Source organism: Homo sapiens, chromosome 19 (assembly GCF_000001405.40).
Source record: "Homo sapiens chromosome 19, GRCh38.p14 Primary Assembly".
Taxonomy (NCBI): Eukaryota; Metazoa; Chordata; class Mammalia; order Primates; family Hominidae; genus Homo; species Homo sapiens.
In genome coordinates this window covers 6581254-6597090 of record NC_000019.10, presented here as the reverse complement: position 1 = coordinate 6597090, position 15837 = coordinate 6581254, and the positions used below count along the sequence as shown (strand labels likewise).

At 50.1% G+C, this 15837-nt stretch overlaps 1 protein-coding gene and 1 pseudogene across 2 annotated transcripts, besides 8 other annotated features; one reads left to right on the top strand and one right to left on the bottom strand.

Moving 5' to 3' along the window:
- On the bottom strand, nt 2954–3785 carry RPL7P50 (ribosomal protein L7 pseudogene 50; annotated as a pseudogene).
- Nucleotides 4122–4221: an enhancer, noted in NCBI's record as "active region_13849". NCBI's record gives its function as "activates an Ori minimal core promoter by ATAC-STARR-seq in GM12878 lymphoblastoid cells {active_cell/tissue: GM12878}" and the evidence as "EXISTENCE:reporter gene assay evidence [ECO:0000049][PMID:35858748]".
- Nucleotides 4242–4701: an enhancer, noted in NCBI's record as "active region_13848". NCBI's record gives its function as "activates an Ori minimal core promoter by ATAC-STARR-seq in GM12878 lymphoblastoid cells {active_cell/tissue: GM12878}" and the evidence as "EXISTENCE:reporter gene assay evidence [ECO:0000049][PMID:35858748]".
- Nucleotides 5772–6171: an enhancer, noted in NCBI's record as "active region_13847". NCBI's record gives its function as "activates an Ori minimal core promoter by ATAC-STARR-seq in GM12878 lymphoblastoid cells {active_cell/tissue: GM12878}" and the evidence as "EXISTENCE:reporter gene assay evidence [ECO:0000049][PMID:35858748]".
- On the top strand, nt 5941–15443 carry CD70 (CD70 molecule). Of its 2 annotated transcripts, NM_001330332.2 has the most exons (4): nt 5941–6250; nt 6955–6988; nt 10686–10937; nt 13613–15443. In NM_001330332.2, the coding sequence occupies exons 1-4, from the start codon at nt 6089–6091 to the stop codon at nt 13789–13791; spliced, it is 627 nt and encodes a 208-aa protein (NP_001317261.1). In that variant the 5' UTR covers nt 5941–6088; the 3' UTR covers nt 13792–15443. The 2 variants fall into 2 exon arrangements, with proteins under 2 accessions (NP_001317261.1, NP_001243.1); NM_001252.5 differs by lacking the exon at nt 13613–15443 and having other exon boundaries at nt 10686–11252.
- Nucleotides 6672–7041: an enhancer, noted in NCBI's record as "active region_13846". NCBI's record gives its function as "activates an Ori minimal core promoter by ATAC-STARR-seq in GM12878 lymphoblastoid cells {active_cell/tissue: GM12878}" and the evidence as "EXISTENCE:reporter gene assay evidence [ECO:0000049][PMID:35858748]".
- Nucleotides 8220–8299: an enhancer, noted in NCBI's record as "active region_13845". NCBI's record gives its function as "activates an Ori minimal core promoter by ATAC-STARR-seq in GM12878 lymphoblastoid cells {active_cell/tissue: GM12878}" and the evidence as "EXISTENCE:reporter gene assay evidence [ECO:0000049][PMID:35858748]".
- Nucleotides 8590–8769: an enhancer, noted in NCBI's record as "active region_13844". NCBI's record gives its function as "activates an Ori minimal core promoter by ATAC-STARR-seq in GM12878 lymphoblastoid cells {active_cell/tissue: GM12878}" and the evidence as "EXISTENCE:reporter gene assay evidence [ECO:0000049][PMID:35858748]".
- Nucleotides 9871–10623: an enhancer, noted in NCBI's record as "H3K27ac-H3K4me1 hESC enhancer chr19:6586479-6587231 (GRCh37/hg19 assembly coordinates)". NCBI's record gives its function as "activates a minimal SCP1, AML or CMV promoter by ChIP-STARR-seq in primed H9 embryonic stem cells {active_cell/tissue: H9 hESC(primed)}" and the evidence as "EXISTENCE:reporter gene assay evidence [ECO:0000049][PMID:30033119]".
- Nucleotides 10624–11378: an enhancer, noted in NCBI's record as "H3K4me1 hESC enhancer chr19:6585724-6586478 (GRCh37/hg19 assembly coordinates)". NCBI's record gives its function as "activates a minimal SCP1, AML or CMV promoter by ChIP-STARR-seq in naive H9 embryonic stem cells {active_cell/tissue: H9 hESC(naive)}" and the evidence as "EXISTENCE:reporter gene assay evidence [ECO:0000049][PMID:30033119]".
- Nucleotides 15444–15837: the final 394 nt, after the last annotated feature.

Here is a 15837-nt window from a genome sequence, read left to right as displayed (position 1 = left end):
GAAACTGGGCATAAGACAATATGAGGGGTGGTCTCCTCCCTTAACAGGGTTTCTCCTTGTTGGTCAGGCTGCTCTCAGACTCTCGACCTCAGGTGATCTGCCCACCTCGGCATCCCAAAGTGCCGGGATTACAGGCGTGAACCACTGCACCCAGCCAGTAATTCCTTTTTAATTCCTATATCAACACCAAGGGGCATATCCCTGTGGCAACTTGAGATCAGCCACAGCAAAGGGAAACAGAAGGAGTGACCAAGTTGGACAAAGAGGAAGCCTGAGTTGGCACTTTCAAGCTGCCCGCGGCTTCCAGGGTTATGGAAGAGAGGCAGAAGTTTCCAGATTTCCCTTGGGGGAAAGCAGAAGGCAGCCAAAAATCAGCCTGGTGGGCCTCGGGCTTCCTCAGGAGGAAAGTGATCTTACTTTCTGTGCTCCAACTGTCCTCTGGGTCTCTCCCCTCAACTCTTTCCCTTCACAGGGCTCATGATTCCCCTGACTTAGAGCAAGAGAGAGAGAGAGAGAGAGTGCCAACATCAGTGGACGTCTTGTCCTGGAGCCTCAGCTCTAGAGTCTGCAGATGGGGAAACTCTGGTTTTAGAAAACCTTCTTCTCAAAAATAATGCACACGACCGTGGGGCGTGGTGGCTCATGCCTGTAATCCCAGAACTTTGGGAGGCCAAAGTTGGCGAATCACTTGAGGTCAGGAGTTCGAAACCAGCCTGGCCAACATAGCAAAACCCCATCTCTACTAAAAATACAAATATTAGCCGGATGTGGTGGTGCACATCTGTAATCCCAGCTACTTGAGAGGCTGAGGCAGGAGGAGAATCACTTAAACCCGGGAGGCAGAGGTTGCAGAGAGAGCCGAGATCACGCCACTGCCCTCCAGCCTGGGTGACAGAGAAAGGCGTCCCAAAAATAAATAAATAAATAAATAAAAATTAAAAAATAAAAAATGGTGCAAATGACCTCCAGCAGAACTGCACAGACTGGAAAGTGGTCAGAGGCCAGGTCAAGTCACTAAGTGACTCAGGTGGGAAGGTCCAGGTTCTTCAGGTACACGATATGGATCCACATTCAAATCTAGGCACTTCCTCTCCCAAGCTCCTTGCTAGGTGGATTAAGCTGGTGGCCTTCCTCTCTGAGCCTGCTCACAGGGAAAATAGAAATAACAGCATGATTCACTTCATAGGGTTCTTGGGAAGGTCAGAAAAGGTGAAACCTGACAAGTGCTTAGCACAGGACTAAACCCTCAATTGCGCATGGGTCTTCTGGTTGGTTGTGTTCCGGTATCATTCAAACCACACCACGTTGAGTTTGTGTGCGTACGTCCGCGTCTGTGACGCGTGCAAGTGTGCTTACGAAAGAATATCCTTGAAGTAAAATTTCTGGACCAAAGGGAAGGTGCATTTTGGTGCATTGATAGATTTCAACAAGCTGTCCTTCCAGAAAGTTGGATCCATTTCAGCTCCTAGCCTCCAGGTTTGAGGCTCCTTCTCACCCACGCACTTGCTGAGCAGTGAATCATCAAACACTCTGATCTTTTACCAAATCACAGGTGACAAGATAAAGTGTGGCTGGGCACAGTGGCTCACACCTGTAATCCCAGCACTTTGGGAGGCCCAGGTGGGCAGATCACTGGAGGTCAGGAGTTCAAGACCAGCCTGGCCAACATGGTGAAACCCCATCTCTACTAAAAATACAAAAATTAGCCAGGCGTGGTGGTGGGCACCTGTAATCCCAGCTACTCAGGAGGATGAGGCAGGAGAATTGCTTGAACCTGGGAGGCGGAGATTGCAGTGAGCCGAGATGGCGCCACTGCACTCCAAGCTGGGCGACAGAGGGAGACACGATCTTAAAAAAAAAAAGAGAGAGAGAGAGAGAAAGAAAAATTGTGTTTCACGGAGCTTTCAATTTCCAATTTTCTTGTGGTGAACGAGATTCAGTTTCATAAGCAGTTGTATTTTTTTTATTTATTTATTTTTTTAAGACAGACTCTCTCTCTGTCTCTCAGGCTGGAGTGCAGTGGCCAGATCTCAGCTCACGACAACCTCCGCCTCCCGGGTTCAGGCGATTCTCCTGACTCAGCCTCCCGAGATAGCTGGGACTACAGGTGTCCGCCACCACGCCCAGCTAATTTTTGTATTTTTAGTAGAGACGGGGTTTCACCATATTGGCCAGGCTGGGCTTGAACTCCTGACCTTGTGATCCGCCCGCCTCGGCCTCCCAAAGTGCTGAGATTACAGGTGTGAGCCACTGCGCCCGGCCAAGCAGTTGTATTTATTTTTATGAGTTGGCTGCTCCTGTCTCATTTTGGGATTTTCCTAAGACACCTCGGCCTCCCAAAGTGCTGAGATTACATGTATGAGCCACCCCACCCCATCTCTCTTTCCCCCATCTTTTAGAAGGTATTAGTTATTTCTTAATGATATGAATCTAAACTATTTATATCTTAAGCTGATAAAAAGATCAGCTAAGTAAATATTAAATAAATTAAGGTAGGAGATTGTCTTGAAGGTGCTGTCTACCCGCTTCCCCCAGACCTGGAGTCCTAGGGCTTCCGTGAAGGAAATCCCTTTAGTACTTGGGGATCTCAGGGAGGATATTTTGATTTCTGGATACCTCAAAATTCTGGACCTCTTTGACCACCCTCTTCACCCACCCAGCAAATGCTATAGGCTCAGGCTCTGAAATCTCCCATTTTTATCTCCTTTCAATTTTTTGCTTTTTGTTGGTAATTTTGCTGTTTCAAACAGCCCCCAAATAGTGCTGAAGCCCTGTCTAATGTCCCCCAAGAGCAAGGAGGCCGTGATGAGCCTCACAGAGGAGGAAATCCACGTGTTAGAGAAGCTATCCCCAGGCACGAGTTCTAGCGCTGTTGGCTGTGAGTTTGCTGCTGATGACACTGACTTCTTGATGATTCATAGCCAGAGGCCCTTGGGACCCTAACTGTATGTATATACAGACATATTTTTCTTTCCATTTGAGAGCAGGTAATGTTTATTGAACAGCTTAGAAAAATAATTATAGTACACACCATAGTTCATTCTTCTAACAAGCCTGTTGATCTGGTCCTCCCTGTTGCCAGCATCTCCACCTTCCACGAAATGGGTGGTCTGTTTCTTCATTCTGCCTCATGGAGAAGATACTTTGAAGGACCACAGGAAGTTATGTGCTTCTTTGAAGCGTTTTCCAACAGTATGGACCTCATGAATCACATCCTCCATACAGATGATGCCATATTTTCCAAGAGATCGTGCAAAGCGTTATCTGTCAAAGCAATTCGTTTCTTATTGATTTTGCCATAACCACGCTTGTAGATTAGTTTATTTACTGACTTCAGATTTAGGTACCCGCATGCAATGTATGGCTCTACAATCCTCAGCATGTTAATTGGCCTTCACAAAGGTTCCATTGAAGATTTGACAAAGGCAAAGAAGCTGCAACACATTTCGGACCTTTGGGCTCACACCATCGATACCTCTGATCCTGATGACAAACGCCAGTCTGGATTCTGCAGGTTCATAGAAGTTGCCAGCTTTTCTTGACATCTTTTCCATTCGAATTTCAGTTCTGTACCTCTGCCTATATTCCTTGTGATAGTGCTTCAATTTTTCATAGATAAGCTTCCTCCTTGCCTTTCGAAGCATCTTTTGGGCAAACTTCTTTCTCAGGCGCTTGGTCTTCAGCTCTGTGAAATTCCTTCGCTTTTTCTTAGGGGTTTCTGGCACAGCGGGAACTTCCTTCTTCTTCTCTTCTACACCCTCCATGGTTCCAGCCGGAAAAAGAGGCTGGATCCTCTTTTTAAAAAATATATATATTTTTAAGACAGAGTCTCGCTCTGTCACCCAGGCTGGAGTGCAATGGTGTGATCTCGGCTCACTGCAACCTCTGCCTCCCGGGTTTGAGCGATTCTCCTGCCTCAGCTTCCTGAGTAGCTGGGATTAAAGGTGCCCACCACCACACCCAGCTATTTTTTGAATTTTTAGTAGAGATGGGGTTCCACCATGTTGGCCAGGCTGGTCTCCAACTCTTTTTTTTTTTTTTTTGAGACGGAGTCTCACTCTGTCACCCAGGCTGGAGTTCAGTGGCGTGATCTCGGCTCACTGCAAGCTCCACCTCCCGGGTTCACGCCATTCTCCTGCCTCAGCCTCCTGAGTAGCTGGGACTACAGGCGCCCGCCACCATGCCCGGCTAATTTTTTGTATTTTTAGTAGAGACGGGGGTTTCACCGTGTTAGCCAGGAGGGTCTCAAACTCCTGATATCAAGTGATCCGCCTGCCTCAGCCTCCCAAAGTGCTGGGATTACAGGCGTGAGCCACTGCGCCTGGCTCCTTCTTGGTGTTTCTTGACTTTCATCTGCCTCATTCAGTTTCTGTTTCTGTTTTCACACGGCTCCTTCTCTATGAGCCTCTTTTCTCTCCACCTGAGGGCCCACTCTAATCCAGTATGACCTCATTTAAGCCTAATTATATCTGCAAAAAAAACCCCGTAATTTCAAAATGAGGTCATATTCTGCAGTTCCAGGAGGCCATGAATTCTGGGAGGACACCGTTAACCCACTACAGCCATCGAGAACAGCAGCAGGAGGCTGGATGCGGTGGCTCACACCTGTCATCCCGGCACTTTGGGGGACCTACGCAGCAGGATCGCTTGAGCCCAGATGTTTGAGACCAGCCTGGTAACATAGTAACACCCTATCCTCTACCCCCCCCAAAAAAAAAATTAGCCGGGCATGGTAGCGTGTGCTGGTAGACCCAACTATGCAAAAGGCTGAGATGGGAGGGTCACTGAAGCCCAGGAGTTTGAGGCTGCTGTGAGCTGTGTGGCGCCACTGCATCCAGCCTGGGCAACAGAGCAACACTCTGTCTCTAAAAATATTAATTTAGGCCGGGCGCGGCGGCTCACGCCTGTAATCCCAGCACTTTGGGAGGCCAAGGCGGGCAGATCACGAGGTCAGGAGATGGAGACCATCCTCGCTAACATGGTGAAAACCCATCTCTACTAAAAATACAAAAAGTTAGCCGGGCGTGGTGGCGGGCGCCTGTAGTCCCAGCTACTTGAGAGGCTGAGGCAGGAGAATGGCGTGAACCCGGGAGGCGGAGCTTGCAGTGAGCCGAGATGGCGCCACTGCACTCCAGCCTGGGCGACAGAGCGAGACTCTGTCTCAAAAAAAAAAAAAATAAATAATAAAATAAAATAAAAATAAAAAATAAAAATATTAACTTAATTTAACTTTAAACAAAAAAGCAGGTGGTCTCCAAGAATGCAGGAGATAACTGACCGGGTGCAGTGTCTCATGCCTTTAATCCCAGCACTTTGGAAGGCCAAGGCGGGTGGATCACCCAAGGTCAGGAGTTCAAGTCCAGCCTGGCCAACATGGTGAAACCCCATCTCTACTAAAAATACAAAAAATTAGCCAGGCATGGTGGCGCGCGCATGTTACTCCCAGCTACTCGCGAGGCTCAGACAGGAGAATCGCTTGAACCCAGGAGATCGAGGTTGCGGCGAGCTGAGATGGCGCCACTGCACTCCAGCCTGGGTGACAGAGGGAGACCTCCGTCTCAAAAACAAAACAAATCAAAAAAATGCAGGAGAGGGGTACACGAATATTTGGGGAGCACCCCCAATTCTTGGATGTCTGCTGTATCCCCAGTGCACAGCACAATCTAATCCCTAATAAATGTGCAGTGGAGGTTTGTTGAATAAATGAATGGGCCCCAGAAGAATGAGGTGGAGAGGGGAATAGGAAGATTGAATGTCTCCTGCCTGAAGGTCGGGCGGGGAGGGGTTGGGGGCAGGCAACTCTGAGGCTCACCCGGGGCCACTGCCTGCATCCTGGCAACTGCCTCCACCCACTTTAGGATCTTCAGACTGGCAGCGGTTGGAGGGAATTTCCCCTCGCCAATTGCTCAAGTCCCTCCCCTCGACCGGCCGGACATCCCCAGAGAGGGGCAGGCTGGTCCCCTGACAGGTTGAAGCAAGTAGACGCCCAGGAGCCCCGGGAGGGGGCTGCAGTTTCCTTCCTTCCTTCTCGGCAGCGCTCCGCGCCCCCATCGCCCCTCCTGCGCTAGCGGAGGTGATCGCCGCGGCGATGCCGGAGGAGGGTTCGGGCTGCTCGGTGCGGCGCAGGCCCTATGGGTGCGTCCTGCGGGCTGCTTTGGTCCCATTGGTCGCGGGCTTGGTGATCTGCCTCGTGGTGTGCATCCAGCGCTTCGCACAGGCTCAGCAGCAGCTGCCGCTCGAGTCACTTGGGGTGAGTTGAGATGGAAAAGTTGGGAAGAAAACATAGAGAGGCGCGTGACCGAAAAGACAGAATGAGATGGGTACAAAGAGGCCAGAGAGGAAGATCTGGTAGGGCAGAGACAGAGACCAGAACAGGGAGGCGAGGCGGGGACCAGGCTGCCCGGTGTAGGGGCTACGAGACAGGCAGCCCTGCCAGGAGGTACAGGGAGATCCCGGGATGGGAAAGGTAGGCACACATGGAAATGGAAGATGACTCGGCTCTGGTGTTCCCCCGGCAGGCTGACTCAGAGGCTGCTGGGGGCTTCACAAGGCTGGGCGTGGGGGCTTCCTGGGGCCTCCTAGGACGGGATGGCCCCAGCCACTCGCTCCGGGTGGGGGAGGGGTCCCTTTGGGGACCGCGCCGGGCGCCTTTGCAGCGTAGAGAGTCCGCTGCGCGCGGTGCTCTCGCGCCCAGTGACATCCAGGAAAACGATTCGGGAAACGAAGAAGTTCTTTTGAAGGTCTCGACTTCACGTTCCCCGCTGGTTCAGACCTGCTTCCTCTTTAAGAAGTCTTAAGAGTAAAAAAAAATAAAATGAAATAAAATCACCAGTGCGCGCCGTGGGATGAGAGGTGGAAAGGAGGATGGACAGAGAAAAGAGAGCTCCTGGCACAGGGGACACATAGAACCTCTCTGCTTACGTCCGTGCCCTGTTTTCTGGTCTTTTCTTCCAGTGGGACGTAGCTGAGCTGCAGCTGAATCACACAGGTAACACGGGGGACGTGGAGGGACGGGGAGAAGAAGAGGCACAGAGAGAGAAGGAAGGAGAGGTAGAAAGACAAGTGGGGAGAGACAGAGAGAAAGAGACACAGACAGAGACGGAGGGAGAGAGGGAGGGAGAGATAGGGAGGGAAACGGAGAGGGGGAGACAGAGAGAAGACAGAGAGGGAGGGAGAGGCCCAGAGAAAGGGAGGGAGAGACAGAAAAAAGAACAGAGAGAGGGACAGAGGGGACAGACGGGACAGGAGAAGAAGGGGAAAGAAAGAAACAGGGAGAGACGCAGGGAGAGTGGAAGAGGGAGGGAGGGAGACAGGCGGGGGAGACAGAACGAGAGAGAGGGAGAGAGACGGAGAAAGAGAAAAAAGACAGATAGAGGAAGAGAGAATAAAAACGAGAGAGGCGACCTGGCGTGGTTGCTGGAGCCTGTAATCCCAGCGCTTTCGGAGGGCGCGGCGGGTGGATCACTTGAGCCCAGGAGTTTGAGACCAGCCTGGCCAACATGGTGAAACCCCGTCTCTACTAAAATTACAAAAATTAGCCGGGTGTGGTGGCAGGCACCTGTAATCCCAGCTACTCAGGAGGCCGAGGCAGGAGAATCGCCTGAACCTGGGAGGCAGAAGTTGCAGTGAGCCAAGATAATGGCACTGCTCTCCAGCCTGGGTGACAGAGGGAGATTCTGTCAAATAAATAAATAAAAAGAAGAAAGGAAAAGAAAAAGAAAGAAAGGAAGGAAGGAAAAGAAAGAGAAGAAGGAAGGAAGGAGAGAGGGAGGGAGGTGAGAGAGAGAGAAAGGAAAAAGAAAGAAGAAAGAGAAAAAAAGAAATAAGAGAAAGAAAAGAAAGAAAGCCAGAGAGAGGAAAAGAGAAGGAGAATAACAGAGAGGAAGAGACAGAGACAGAGAGGGGGAAGAAGAAAAACAGGGCGGGGGAGAAAGAGATCATTCCCAAGAGAAAAAGGAAAAGGGAGAGAACGAGAGAGAGAGAGAGGAGAGAGAGAGCGAGCAGGTTTGTGTTTCTGGGCATCCACTACCTTTCTCTCCCTTTCCCTCTCAGTCCTTCACATTCGATCTCCTCCCTTGGAAGAATCAAAGGGGTTTTGTTAGTAAACGAAAACGCTCACAGGAAAGGCTACCCTTCCTCCATTCATGCTACAAGCACTAATTATACATCTGCAGTGGGCAGGCACTGTTCCGGTACTGCAGTCGCGCACAAAACAGACAGAAATCCCTGCCTGGTGAGCTTCCCTTCTACTATCACTCCTACCGAGGAGGAGATGACCAAAAAAATAAAAACGAACATGTGAAAAACAGAGCAATGCCACGTAGAGTAAAACAGGCCAAGAGCAGGTTTTAGAGAAAAAATCAGGCAAGGAGGTGGGTGGGGAATCCGGGCATGCCAGGGTTGGGGATTTTCATTTAAAGTGGAGTCGCGGCGGTCGGGTGGGGGGGTGGTATCTGAGTGGGTGGCATTGGCAAGAAGCCTTGAGGGAGAAGAAATGAACAGTTCTGCTCTAGGTGGAAGTCTCTACCTCCTCCCAGCCTCTCTCGAACGCTTCTTCCTCTTCTGTTTTTCCACGGTTCATCCCCAGAGACTAAAATTACTGCACGCTTGCGTGTTTTGTTCCTTCCATTTTGTAATGGAAGGGACCTTTGTTGCTCTCTCTTCTCCTTGGGTCTCTGACCCCTGATATATCTTCCCCCCCTCCCCGGCCTTTGCCATATTTTTCCTGTAATTTGGTCTTGAGGCCCCTTTCTGGAGAGTGGCTGTCCAGCCCCACATCGATGGGGCACCAGGGGTGGTGGCCACAGGTGTTGACAGTGTCTTTCACAGGACAGCTCTTTCTTCTGGTGGATGATATCATGCCTAAGTGTGTGACAGGGGACCAGGTGTCACTCTTACAGGAAATTTGCAAAGCCTGGTAAACACCCTTGGGGCTCCTGTTTGACCCCGTTCAGTTCCTTCCTAACAAGATAGCCAGTCTCCAGGAGAGCCTTGAGTGAGGAGGAGAGTGAGGCTCAGGTGTGTCAGTCAGATAAGTTGCGGAGACAGGAGACGCTGAGATGAAACACGTGAAATATAGCCGAGGACCTTGGCTCCCGGCTGTGATCCCAGCGCTTTGGGAGGCTGAGGTGGGAGGATCGCTTGAGCCCAGGAGTTCTAGACTATGTTTCTTGGGAAACATAGCAAGACCACCATCTCTAGAACAAAATTTTGAAAATTAGCTGGTCATGGTGGCGCATGCCACCTCCCAGTGACTCGGGAGGCTGAGGTGGGAGATAGCTTGAGCCCCAGAGGCTGAGGCTGCAGTGAGCTATGATTGCACCACTGCACTCCAGCCTGGGTGACAGGACCAGACCCTGTCTCTAAAGAAAATAAAGATCCTAGAGAGAAGAGGGCCAACGGGAAGGTAGGGGAGCTCTCTGAGACACACACTCAACCAGCGGGTGGAAAGCAAGAAAAAAAAAGGGTCCTGGGAGCCAAAGCTTTTATTGGCGTTCAGGGTGTGACCCGAGCAGGCGTCCCTTGGGGAATTCTCTCGTGCACTCTCTTGCGCGCTGTCTCGTGCGCACGCTGTCTCTCTCGTGCTGTCTGTCTCACTCTCTCAGGCACTCTCTCGCTCACTCCCGTGCACTCTCGAGCTCTGTAGCTCTCATCCTCTCTCACACACACACTCTCCCATGCACTCTCTCGAGCTCACTCTCACACTCTGTCTCGTGCACTCTCTCTCAAGCTCTCTCGTCCTCTCTCACACACACACTCTCTCTCTTGCTCTCTCTCTCATGCTGTCTCTCGTACTCTCTCCTGCTCTCTCGTGCTCTCTCTCACTCTCTCGTGCACTCTCCCTCAAGCTCTCTCGTCCTCTCTCTCACACTCTCTCGCTGTCTCATGCTCTCTCTCCCTCATGATCTCTCTCTCTCTCATGCTGTCTCTTGCACTCTCTCCTGCTCTCTCGTGCTCTCTCGCACTCTCTCGTGCACTCTCCCTCAAGCTCTCTCGTCCTCTCACACACTCTCTCGCTCTCTCATGCTCTCTCTCTCATGCTCTCTGTCGCACTCTCTCGTGCACTCTCGTCCTCTCTCACACATACACTCTCTCTCTTGCTCTCTCTCTGCATTCTCTCTCTATATATCTCTCCCTCCCCCTCTATCTTTACCCTTGTCTGTTTCTGTTTTTTTTTTTTTTTTTTTTGTCTCTCTCTCTCCTGGTGTCTCTCTCTCCCTGTCTCTACCCCTTTCCCCTTACCCCTCTCTCCTTCCCTTTAGATCTCTAACCTTCTATCCCCCTCCCTTTTTTTTGAGACAGGGTTTCTGTGACCAAGGCTGGAGTGCAGTGGTGTGATCATAGCTCACTGCAGTCTCAGCCTCCCAGGCTCAAGCGATCCTCCAGCCTCAGCCTCCCAAGAGTAGCCAGGACCAGAGGCGTGCACCACCACACCTGGCTGACTTTTTATTTTTTGTAGAGATGGGGTCTCGCCCTGTTGTCCAGGCTGGTCTTGAACTGCTGACCTCAGGTGATCCACCCGCCTTGGCCTCCTAAACTGTTAGGATTTCAGGCATGAGCCACCACGTCCAACCTATTCCTTGATCTCTAACTCTCGATCTCTATATCTGACTTTCTCTATGACCCCCTGTGCCTCAGTTTCCCTAAACCTCCATCCTCTCATCCCTCTAACCCTGTGCCCCCAGGACCTCAGCAGGACCCCAGGCTATACTGGCAGGGGGGCCCAGCACTGGGCCGCTCCTTCCTGCATGGACCAGAGCTGGACAAGGGGCAGCTACGTATCCATCGTGATGGCATCTACATGGTACACATCCAGGTGACGCTGGCCATCTGCTCCTCCACGACGGCCTCCAGGCACCACCCCACCACCCTGGCCGTGGGAATCTGCTCTCCCGCCTCCCGTAGCATCAGCCTGCTGCGTCTCAGCTTCCACCAAGGTTGTACCATTGCCTCCCAGCGCCTGACGCCCCTGGCCCGAGGGGACACACTCTGCACCAACCTCACTGGGACACTTTTGCCTTCCCGAAACACTGATGAGACCTTCTTTGGAGTGCAGTGGGTGCGCCCCTGACCACTGCTGCTGATTAGGGTTTTTTAAATTTTATTTTATTTTATTTAAGTTCAAGAGAAAAAGTGTACACACAGGGGCCACCCGGGGTTGGGGTGGGAGTGTGGTGGGGGGTAGTGGTGGCAGGACAAGAGAAGGCATTGAGCTTTTTCTTTCATTTTCCTATTAAAAAATACAAAAATCAGCTGGGCTTCGTGGCGTGCATCTGTAATCCCAGCTACTCGGCCGACTGAGGCAGGAGAATCGCTTGAACCGAGGAGGTGGAGGTTGCAGTGAGCCGAGATTGCGCCACTGCACTCCAACCTGGGCAACAGAGCAAGACTCTGTCTCAGGAAAAAAAAAATGTTCTTGGTTAGGGATGTTTGAAGAATAGAGGAAGTGGGCTGGGCACAGTGGCTCATGCCTGTAATCCCAGCACTTTGGGAGGCTGAGGAAGGCAGATCGCTTGAGCCTAGGAGTTCAAGACCAGCCTGGGCAACATAGTGAGACCCCCATCTCTACAAAAAATACAAAAATTAACCAGATGTAGTGGTGTGCTAGTCCAAGCTACTCCAAAGGCTGAAGTGGGAGATTGGGTAGAGCCCAGGAGGTCAAAGGCTGCAGTGAGCCGTGATCATGCCACTGCACTCCAGCCTGAGCAAGAGTGAGATTCCTTGTCAAAAAAAAAAAAAAAAAGTTCTGTTTTCTCCTTGGTGCATCTATTTGACAAGAGAGGAAACACAAAGATCACTTTGGGTGACTGTCTCTCAAAGCAGACAATGCAAAATACCTAATGAGTTGGGAGGCCAGGGTGGGTGGATCACTTGAAATCAGGAGTTCGAGACCAGCCTGGCCAACATGTAAAACTCCGTCTACTAAAAATACAAAAATTAGCCAAGCGTGGTCCAGGGCGCCTGTAATCCCAGCTACTCAGGAGGCTGAGGCAGGAGAATCTCTTGAACCTGGGAGGCGGAAGTTTCAGGGAGCCAAGATCGCGTCATTGCACTGCAGCCTGGTGAGGGGTGTCGCAAACCACCATGGCACACATTTAACTATGTAATGGAACTACACATCCTGCACATGTACCCCAGAACTTAAATAATAATAATAAAAGATCACTTGAGGTCAGGAGTTCAAGACAAGCCTGGCCAACATGGCGAAACCTCACCTCTACTGAAAATACAGGGTCTTGATCTGTCGCCCAGGCTGCAGTGCGGTGGCATGATCCTGTCTCACTGCGGCCTCAAACTCCTGGGCTCAAGCGATCCTCCCACCTCAGCCTCCCAAATAGCTAGGACCGCCAGCACAGGCCACCACACCCGGCTATTTTTTTTTTTTTTTTTTTGAGATGAGGTCTCATTACATTGCCCCAGCTGGTCTCAAACTCCAATCTCCCGAAATGCCGATCTTCCCGCCTCGGTCTCCCCAAGTGCTGGGATTACAGGCATGAGCCACTGCCTGGACCTCAAATACATTTTGGAACTCAGAATTTACCAGTATTTAAAGATGGTGTACAGGATTATACCATCTTTTTTTTTGAGATGGAGTCTCGCCCTGTTGTCCAGGCTGGAGTGCAGTGGCATAATCTCAGCTCACTGCAACCTCCACCCTCCCAGGTTCAAGCAATTCTTCTGCCTCAGCCTCCCAAGTCTGGGACTACAGAAATCCGCCACCACGTCCGGCTAATTTTTCTATTATTAGTAGAGACGGGCTTCACCATGTTGGCCAGGATGGTCTCGATCTCTTGACCTTGTGATCCACCCGCCTCGGCCTCCCAAAGTGCTGGGACTACAGTTGTGAGCCACCGCGCCTAGCGCTTATACCATCTTTTATGCATCACCTCAGTGAGGTCGGGACAGCATTTTGTAATCAAACACCACATCTTTTTTTTTTTTTTTTACAATGAGAAGTGTTAACATTCACACTAAGTGGGATAAAAATCAAGACTACAGGCCAGGCGCGGTGGCTCATGCCTGTAGTCCCAGCACTTTGGGAGGCCGAGGTGGGCGGATCGCCTGAGGTCAGGAGTTTGAGACCAGCCTGGCCGACGTGGTAAAACCCCGTCTCTACTAAAAACACAAAAATTAGCCAGGCATGGTGGCCGGCACCTGTAAACCCAGCTACTCAGGAGGGTGAGGCAGGAGGGTCACTTAAACCCCGGAGGTGGAGGTTGCAGTGAGCCAAGATCATGTCATTGCACTCCAGCCTGGGTGACAAGAGCGAAACTCCATCTCAAAAAAAAAAAAAAAAAAAATCAAGACCACAGTTACCAATCTGGCTAACATGGTGAAACCTCATCTCTACTAAACATTTAAAAATTAGCTGGGTGTGGTGATGGGCACCTCTAATCCATGCTACTAGGGAGGCTGAGACAGGAGACTCTCTTGAACTCAGGAGGTGGAGATTGCAGTGAGCTGAGATAGTGCCACTGCACTCCAGCCTGGGTGGCAGAGTGAGACTGTCTTTAAAAAAAAAAAAAAAAAAAAAAAAGACTACAATTAACAAAAAGTTAGTTCAGGTCAGAGATTGCTGCCAAACAATTCACCAAAACAACTTGATTTCCAGGGCTTTTTGGATTTTGGAACTGGGGACTCAAAGTCAAGTGCTTCTTACGGCATTTAATATGGACTGCACACTGTTTTATCCCATTAACTCAGCTCGTGTTCATGCAAGCCCTACAAAGCTGGAGGAATCATCATTGTTCCCATTTCACAGATGAGGAAAACAGAGGCGTAAACCGTTGAGTCATCTGTCCAAAGTTACTGGTTTTGTAACAGCTGGAACCTCAGTATTTAACAGTTGAGGAAAATAGTGGCAGAAAACCTGAGTCACAAGCCCGAGGCAATTCATCTACATAGTAGTGGACTCAGGATTCCAAGCCAGATAATCCCGCATCTTGCATCCATGATCTCACTTCTAGAAGGGGAAGTGAGAGGAGTGGTGGGGTGTCCCAGCTGAGGGAGGGAAAATGAGACCCATGCGCCACCCGCCCTCACAAATCTAGCCCTGCAGCCCCTCTCCAACCTTACCTGGACTCAGAACCATGCATCTGGAAAAGCCACAGACACTCGACGCCAGCCTGTGAAAGCAGCCGGGAGGGAGGCTGTATCCTGCAAAGCCACAGGGAAGGGGCTGCCCAAGACCATGGGAACCCACCACTTACATCAGCGTGACCTGGATGTGAGACACAGAGTCAAAGGAGATTATCTGGCAGCTTTAAGATTGGACTGCCTGACTATTCACAATAGCAAAGACTTGGAACCAACCCAAATGTCCATCAATGATAGACTGGATTAAGAAAATGTGGCACATATACACCATGGAATACTATGCAGCCATAAAAACGGATGAGTTCATGTCCTTCATAGGGACATGGATGAAGCTGGAAACCATCATTCTGAGCAAACTATTGCAAGGACAGAAAACCAAACACCGCATGTTCTCACTCATAGGTGGAAATTGAACAATGAGAATACTTGGACACAGGGAGGAGAACATCACACACCGGGGCCTGTCGTGGAGTGTGGAGTCGGGGGAGGGGGGGAGGGATAGCATTAGGAGAAATACCTAATGTAAATGACAAATTAATGGGTGCAGTAAACCAACACGGCACATATATACATATGTAACAAATCTGCACGTTGTGCACATGTACCCTAGAACTTAAAGTATAATTAAAAAAAAAAAAAAAAAAAGATTTGACTGCCTGGCCAGGCACAGTGGCTCATGCCTATAATCCTAACACTTTGGGAGGCCGAGGCGAGCAGATTGCCTGAGCTGAAGAGTTCGAGACCAGCCTGGGCAATATGGTGAAACCCCGTTTCTACTAAAATACAAAAAAAAAAAAATTAGCCAGGCGTGGCAGCGTGCGCCTGTAGTCCCCGCGACTTGGAGGCTGATGCAGGAGAATCGCTTTAACCCGGGAGGCAGAGGTTGCAGTGAGCCGAGATCGAGCCACTGTACTCCAGACTGGGTGACAGAGCGACACTCTGTCTCAAAAAAAAAAAAAAGATTTAACTGCCCCACTGGATTTTGGAATTGCAGGGGACCTTCAGCCCCTTCGTTTGTCCAGTTTCTCCCATTTGGAATGGGTATATCCAACGCCTGTACCCCATTGTATATAGGAAGTAACTAACTTGCTTTTGATTTTACAGGCTCACAGAAGGGACGTGCCTTGTCTCAGATGAGATTTTGGACTGTGGACTTTTGAGTTAATGCTGAAATGAGTTAAGACTTTGGGGGATAGTTAGGAAGGCATGACTAGTTTGAGGACATTATACTCAATGAAATAAGCCAGTCAAAAAGGAAAAATATGTATTGTATAAACTAACTTACATTAATCTACCACATAGGATTAAAACTGTTCACAGGAATATAAAATAGAATTTTTTAGATATACAGTCTTTGAGGGTTTCCTTGTGTTTCTACCAGTCCAGAACTTTTCTTCAGGTGCTTAACCGTCATTTGAATCAGTTCTATTTTCTTTTTTCTTTGTTTGTTTTGATTTTTTGTTTCTTTGTTTGTTTTTTGAGATGGAGTTTCGCTCTTGTCACCCAGGCTGGAATGCAGTGGCACGGTCTCAGCTCACTGCAACCTCCACCTCCCGAGTTCAAGTGATTCTCCTGCCTCAGCCTCTCGAGTAGCTGGGATTACAGGCATCCACCACCACGCCTGCCTGTAATCCCACCTACTCGGGAGGCTGAGGCAGGAGAATCGCTTGAACCTGGGAGGCAGAGGTTGCAGTGAGCCAAGATCGTGCCACTGCACTCCAGCTTGGGCAACAGAGTGAG